General features: G+C 49.7%; 1 annotated feature.

Annotated features, from left to right (window-relative positions):
- Window positions 4,043-4,212: an enhancer, noted in NCBI's record as "experimental_51171 CRE fragment used in MPRA reporter constructs". NCBI's record gives its function as "activates a minimal promoter by MPRAs in K562 erythroleukemia cells, with activity observed for the non-introgressed 19:33681470 variant allele {active_cell/tissue: K562}" and the evidence as "EXISTENCE:reporter gene assay evidence [ECO:0000049][PMID:34662402]".

Below are 7,893 nucleotides of genomic sequence, written 5' to 3' on the forward strand. Positions count from 1 at the left end.
AGAATTGCTTGAACCTGGGAGGTGGAGGTTGCAGTGAGCCAAGATTGCACCACTGCCCTCCAGCCTGAGCGACAGAGTGAGACTGGGTCTCAAAAAAAAAAAAAAAAAAAATCCAATGAAGGCGGAAGGCAAAGGGGGAGCCAGTGCCATGTGGCAAGAGAGGAAGGAAGTGGGAGGAAGTGCCAGGCTGTTTTAAGCAATCAGCTCTCACTCATTCATTACTGTGTGGGGGGCACCAAGGCATTCGTGAGGAATCCACCCCAAGACCCAGACACCTCCCACGAGGCCCCACCTCCAACACTGGAGGGCCACATTTCGATATGAGGTTTGAAAGCGACAAATATCCAAACCATATCAGGCACCAACAGGGTTAAATAACAAACCTTACCTGTTAGCCCATCTTGGGGTTTCTGATGTGCTTGGCTTCATTAATAATTTAGTGAGGTGGACGAGATTGGACTGACTCTTCCCCCAAATCAATACACAAATGATTATTGCTTGAGGGTACTTCTGAGTGCTTCAGCAAGACCGAGGGAGCTTTTTGGTTGAAAATGGGAACTGCACTCAGCACTGGAAGTTCCTGCAGAGAAGGTTATGTAAACCAAGGGGCGACCTGCTGCTAACATTTTCATTGCAATAAAACACTTTTTTTTTGGAATGGTGCTTTTATGACATACTTACTATCACCGTTTCAGGCCTATAATTTTAAAATTACTGCACAATATTGAAGGTGAAATGATTTTACTGCCGCTGGTCTATTAAGGTTCTAGGAACTGGCTGCAGCTTGGAGAGTGTCTATGGCTGGATGCACTTGGACACACCGTGCCGACTGCCCTGGACGTGCCTGCAGACACAGCAGGCTGGATGGGTGCACTGTGGCTGGGTGTGTCTGGGCACTCCCACAGGCGAGCAGGCATTCAGCTCTGAGCTTTGCAGTTCCCACCTGGACTGACCAAACTCTACCAGCCCTCCTGCCCCCTGCCCCCCCGCCACTGCCCCGGGATTGCAGAAATGCTAGGAAGCTGCACTGAAGTCAAAGCAGCAACCCCGGCCAGCTGTCCCACCCCACTGAACTCAGGAGGAAATGCTGTGATTGCTACCATATATGTTGCCAGTTTATTTGTAGTATTTTAAATTTATTTTTATTTTTATTATTTATTTATTTATTTATTTATTGAGACGGAGTCTTGCTCTGTCGCCAGGCTGGAGTGCAGTGGCGCGATCTGGACTCACTGTAACCTCCACCTCCCGGGTTCAAGTGATTCTCCTGCCTCAGCCTCCCGCGTAGCTGGGACTACAGGCGCGCGCCACCAGGCCTGGCTCATTTTATGTAGTTTTAGTAGAGATGGGGTTTCACCATGTTGGTCAGGATGGTCTCAAACTCCAGACCTTGTGATCCGCCCGCTTGGGCCTCCCAAAGTGCTGGGATTACAGGCGTGAGCCACCGCGCCTGGCCTTAAATTTATTTTTATTATTATTATTATCATTTTTTTTTTTTTTGAGAGAGAGAGTCTTGCTCTGTTGCCAGGCTGGAATGCAGTGGCACGATCTCGGCTCACTGCAACCTCTGCCTCCCAGGTTCAAGTGATTCTCCTGCCTTAGCCTCCTGAGTAGCTGGGATTACAGGCCTGTGCCTCCAGACCCAGCTAATTTTTGTATTTTTAGTAGAGATGGGGTTTCGCCATGATGACCAGGCTGGTCTCGAACTCCTGGCCTGAAGTGGTCTGCCCACCTTGGCCTCCCAAAGTGCTAGGATTACAGGCACGAGCCACTTCTTCTGGCCTTGTATTTTTGTTTGATTTTGTTTTGTTTGTTTGTTTGTTTTTTATGGTAAAAGACACATGGAATTTACTATTTTAACCCTTTGTAGCTGTACAGTTTAGTGGCATTAAATACATTCACATTGTTGTACAACCATCCACATATCCATCTCAAGAACTTTTAATTTTCCCAAACTGAAACTCCTTACCCATTAAATAACTCTCTATTTGCCCCTCCTCTCAGCCCCTGGCAACCATCATTCTGTTTATTGTCCGTATGAATTTGACTATGCAAGATGCCCCTGTAAGCGGAATCAGACAATATTTGTCCTTTTGTGACTGGCTTATTTCTCTTAGCATAATGTCCTCAAGTTTCATCCATGTCATAGTATGTGTCAGAATTTCCTTCTGTTAAGACTGAATAGGTGGCTCACACCTGTAATCCCAGCACTTTGGGAGGCCGAGGCAGGTGGATCACCTGAGGACAGGAGTTTGAGAACAGCCTGGCCAATGTGGCGAAACACTGTCTCTACTAAAAATACAAAAATTAGCCAGGTGTGGTGGCCCGTGCCGGTAATCCCAGCTACTCAGGAGGCTGAGGCAGGAGAATCGCTTGAACCTGGGAGGTGGAGGTTGCAGTGAGCTGAGATTGCACAACTGCACTCCAGCCTGGGCGACAGAGGGAGATTCTGTCTAAAAAAAGAAACCCAAAAAAACAAAGAAACAAAAAACGGAATAATATTCCACTGTATGGATGGACCACATTTTGCTTATTCATTCATCATCCATCAAGGAACACTTGGTTACTCCCACCTTGTGGTCATTGTGAATGATGACGCAATGAACATGGGTGTACAAGGATCTGTCTGAGTCCCTGCTTTCAATTCTTCTGGGTATATACCCTGAAGTGGAATGGCTGGATTACATGGTAATTCCATTTTTAATTTTTTAAGGAACCCGTATACTGGTTTCCACAGTAGCCGCACCATTTTACACTCCCACCAGCAATGCACAAAAATGTCAATTTCTCCACATCCTTGCCAACATGTGTTGTTTTCTGTGTATTCCACCCCTGCCCCCCACCGTAGCCATCCTAATGGAGGCAAAGTGGTATCTCTCTGTGATTTTGATATTTTTAATTCAAATAAACCTTAGCACCTGTATTAGTCCGTTTTCACACTGCTGTTAAAGACATACCCGAGACTGGGTAATTTATAAAGGAAAGAGGTTTAATGGACTCACAGTTGCATACGGCTGGGGAGTCCTCACAGTCATGGTGGAAGATGAAGGAAAAGCAAAGAGACTTCCTACATGTCAGCAGGCAAGAGAGGACTTGTGCAGGGGAACTCCTCTTTATAAGACCATCACATCTCATCAGATTCATTCACTATCACAAGAACAGCATGGGAAAGACCCACCCGCATCATCCAATTACCTCCCACCAGGTCCCTCCCACAACACTTGGGAATTGTGGGAGTTACAGTTCAAGATGAGATTTGGATGGGAACACAGCCAAACCATATCAACACCCTTTCTCAAAAGCTCCATTTTTTCTCTTCTTTTCTTTCTTGTCCTTTCACCATCTTACTCCAAAGTTGGACATTAACTTCTGTTCAGAAATCCCACAGTCACAGGCCCTCATGTTAATTTCTACCCAAATGGCTGAGCTTTTCAAATGTCATTGGAGAAACATGGATTTTAATGTATACGATGGCCGGGTGCGGTGGCTCACTCCTGTAATCCCAGCACATTGGGAGGCCAAGGCGGGTGGATCATTTGAGGTCAGGAGTTCAAGACCAGCCTGGTCAACATGGTGAAACCTCGTCTCTACTAAAAATACAAAAATTAGCTGGGCATGGTGGTGCATGCCTGTAATCCCAGCTACTCAGCAGGCTGAGGCAGGAGAATCATTTGAACCCAGGAGGCAGAAGTTGCAGTGAGCCAAGATCACGCCATTGCACTCCAGCCTGGGTGACAGAATGAGACTCTGTCTCAAACAAACAAACAATAATAAAAAAATGTATACGAGAGCAAAATAGCCATTTAGAAGACATCATCCTGTGAGGCACCTCTGCTAGGGTTCCGGGAGGGATCAAGGCTACAACAAACCATGATCACACCACTGCGCAAAGCATTTCAGGACAGTTTCTGCCCAAGGAGAGACTGGGCAGACAGACCTTCCTCTTTCACTGCTGGCCCCAGGTGCTTGCAGTTCTCTCCAAGGGGGCCCTGGAGACCTGGGGGTCCATCAGTATGTCCATGTGCTGGAGCGGCTGCTGGCAGGATCAAGAACTTCCCTCCAAACGCTCTCTGGCTTGACTATTCGCCTGATGGAACAGGCAGAAGGATAGAAATTAGCTCTGGGGGGAGCGGAAACATTCTGAGGCCAGAGCAAGCTGGTGATGAGTGGGGCTTGGAGAAGGTGGCAGGCAGGGCTGTTCACAGGATCATGCAGCTTGAGCTAAAAACTTTGAAGTCTGTTCTGGAGCATTTTCAGCAGTGGGGATGAACCAATTTGCATGTTAAAAACGTGAGCAATGAATTGAGAGGCAAGGGACCACATGGAGGGAGGCCTCTGTGGAGGTCCAGGAGACAGGAGATGGTGGCTGGGACCAGGGAGGTGGTCACGGTGATGGAGAAAGGTGGGTAGATTTGAGATACATCATGGGGACCAGCAGGTTGTAGTGATGGATTGGATGTAGGGAGATTGGAGTAAAAATGATCAACTCAGTAATGGACGTGGCCATGAACTGAGTAGGGCACAGTAGAGAAGGGGCAGATGTGGGGGTGAGGGGTGTCTGGTCTATGGCTCAGCTAGAATAATGAGAGGTTTGCCCTCTTGGAAGTCACCTGTGATAAACTTGGGCATAAAGGTGATCATAAAACAATTTTTTTCAGTTTTATTTGCCAAAGCCACTTTTGGCCTTTGACCTTCAAATAGATTGTAGGATTTTTGTTGTTGTTGTTTTTGAGACAGAATCTCACTCTGTTGCCCAGGCTGGAGTGCAGTGTGCGATCATGGCTCATCGCAGCCTCAAACTCCTGGGCTCAAGCAATCCTCCCACCTCAGCTTCCTGAGTAGCTCAGACTACAGATGCATACCACCACACCCAGCACATTAAAATTTTTTTTTTTGTAGAGCCAGGGTCTTGCTGTGTTGCCCAGGCTGGTCTCGAATCCTGGCCTCAAGTGATCTGCCCACCTCGGCCTCCCAAAGTGCTGGGATTACAAGTGTAAGCCACTGTGCCTGGCTGGTTCTAGTTATTTGAAATCAGGAAAGACACTGACCATTCAACACAGAGTCCTCTTCATTAGTGTCTGGTAAGCAACTGGATAAGAGAGCGCTTGAGTTTGCATCTGCCTGTGGGTGAATGTTGGGGGAGGATGTGGGACTCTCCTGTGTCATTGGTTTCTTCTGTGTCCCACGAGGGCTCGGGGTATGTGGCTGATGAGTGGGCAATGGTGGTGGCCCTCTCGTATGGGATGGAGTGGGGACTTACATGGGATGCCTCTGTGTCCCTTCCGTCTCCTCTCTGCATGTCCTGTGGCTCCTCACTCCTGCAGCAGATTCCTGAAGGCGTCACTGGCCCACAGTGACTGTGACAGCAGCTTTGCTTCCTCCTAACTGGGAAGGCCAGCTTCTTGCCAGGAAGCCCCTGCTCTCATGTCTGAGCCCTCTGCCCCACCACTGCTCCCTCACCTGCCCCAGCCAGTCAGTTCCCATATTCTGGGTCCATGCCCACCATCTCCTTCCCAGTACTGAATTCTCCAATGGTTAGAAGCTTTTGGGTTGTGATGAATAGACACGTTCTGGATATAGCTTGAGTCAATGAGGGAGGTTTACGAAAAGGTTTCAGAGGTGGAGAGACCCAGGCGATTGCAGCTAGCGTGGAAGAGTGTTGAAGCAGAGACAGGAATACCAGGAACCTTTCCAGATGTGGTGAGAGGGCGGTGGGGGAGAGGACTGGGCCAGAGCTGCATTGGGGACCCCCAGCAAGGGTCTTGCCTGGCACAGCAACCTCTAGGGGGCACTAGACCATCATGAGACAAACGGGAAATGGGGTGTCAGTTATGGGCCGGGGTCTCAATATGGGCCGGGAGTAGGATAGGGCAGTGAGGCACTCACCTTGGGCACAGAATTGAAGGAAGTGCCAAAAAACTCAATAATGAAGATAAATCAACTTTAATGCAAATTTTTTGTGTGTGTGCAATGGGGACAGTTGTTTCCAATCAGCCCAAGGTTCCTGGGTACCTTGGCCGTTTCTTGCCTTATGGGTTTATGAGGGTTCACAATGGGATGTGCATAGATTGGGGAGCATGGAGATTTAGATATAGTCATGTGATTGTAGAGCTTTTCTTAGCCTTTCCACTTGGTTCAAAATATGGGAGGATATTTTGATAAGTGTGTCTAGGGGCTCACATTTTTCTTTTGCTTCAGGCTCCAACATGATTCCCATATTGGTCATTGGTCTGGACCCTAGATTCCTTACATAACGTGCAAAACATGCATTGAAGCAGGCAGCATCTTCAACAAAACCGCATATTTTGGCCAGGTGTGGTGGGTCCTGTCTGTAACTCCAGCACTTTGGGAGGCTGAGGCAAGAGGATCCCTTGAGTCCAGGAGTTTGAGGTTGCAGTGAGCCGTGATCACACCACTGCACTCCAGCCTGGGCAACAGAGCAAGACCTTGTCTCTACAAAAAAATGAAAAAATTAGCCTGACATGGTGGTGCACACCTGTCATCCCACCTACTTGGGAGGCTGAGGTGGGAGGATTGCTTGAGCCCAGGAGTTTGAGGGTACAGTGAGCTATGGTTGCAGCTCTGCACTCTAGCCTGGGTGAAAAAGTGAGACTGTCTCTAAAAAAACTAAGAAGCAGCAGCAGCAGCAGCAACAACAACAACAACAACAACAAACGAACAAACCGCAGATCCACCCTACCATTGCCCCTGCCTCTGTTGAGCATTTTTGCCATGCGTAAATAAATGCCTGCTCATCCGCAGTCAGCAGTCTGAGGAAATTCTGAAACCAAATTACACATAGGCTAGTGCTCTATGCCATCAATCTGTAATGTATCTTGTTATTTGATTTTTACGTCCTTTAATACATTTCCTAAGAAGTCTGCTTTGGAAAAATCACCAAAGGAATTAGAAGAGAGAGAATAAGAAAACCCAGAAAAACTAAAAGGATTTTTCTTCCCCCCATTTTTTATTAAAATCCAATCAACCTGCACAGTGCGAGTGAGTGAGTGACTGTCTACGCTTTCACTAACGGACCATCAGTTTCTCTCAACCTTCTCTCCATAAACGGAGAATATCAAATGAGGGTCTGGGGGTGTTAGAAAAGGGTTGGGAGCCTCAGCTCAGGTTGGTGGGCCCGCTGTGCCATGGAGCCTTTGGGGACCTCTGATTTCACATCCGTCTTGGCCCTAAATGGCCTTCTCAAACCTTCCCCCTGTCTCTCCTGGTTCTTGCCTCATTGGACTCAACCTCTTGGTGGGCAGCTCTCCAGAGGGCACCCCCAGCCTAAGAAGCAGGCCTCCTCCCAAGTCCCCAGCCTCACGAGGATAGTGGGTAACAGGGTGGGCTCAGGGGGCCCTGGGAGATCTCCAGAGGCCTCTGGTGTGTTCACCAATGTCCCCTGACAGGTCTTGCTTGGCACAGGGGGTTCCTCTTAGAGACGTGACAGGGCACTTGGACTGTGGCAAATGAAAGAAGCGGAGGGGCAGGAACAGGGACACCTTGCGAAGAAGACAGGCCTTAGCCTTGTGCCACCCCTATGAGGTCCCTAAGCCGTCCTCTCTCTCCCACCTTTTCCCAGTCCTCGCTCCCCGGTCCTCCTCAGCACAGCCGGCTCCAGGAGGGATCAATTCGTGGGCCCGGGAGGAGGCCAGGCGAGCACCGGCTGCCTGGAGCACTGGGCTGGAGCGCGGGGAGCGCGGCGGGGGGCGCGGGCGGGGCGGGGCTGGTGCGCAGAGCTGTCCAGCACCCCGAGGCGGGGCGTGCGCCCCCGGCCCGCCCCAGCCGCCTCCGCCCGCCCAGCCAGCGCCACTGCGGCTCGGCGGGCGCGTCACGTGGCTGGCGCAGCGCGGCCTCCAGGCTCCGGGCGCGGGCGAGGGGCCGGGCGGGAGGACT

This window comes from Homo sapiens, chromosome 19 (genome assembly GCF_000001405.40).
Source record: "Homo sapiens chromosome 19, GRCh38.p14 Primary Assembly".
NCBI classification, from domain to species: Eukaryota; Metazoa; Chordata; class Mammalia; order Primates; family Hominidae; genus Homo; species Homo sapiens.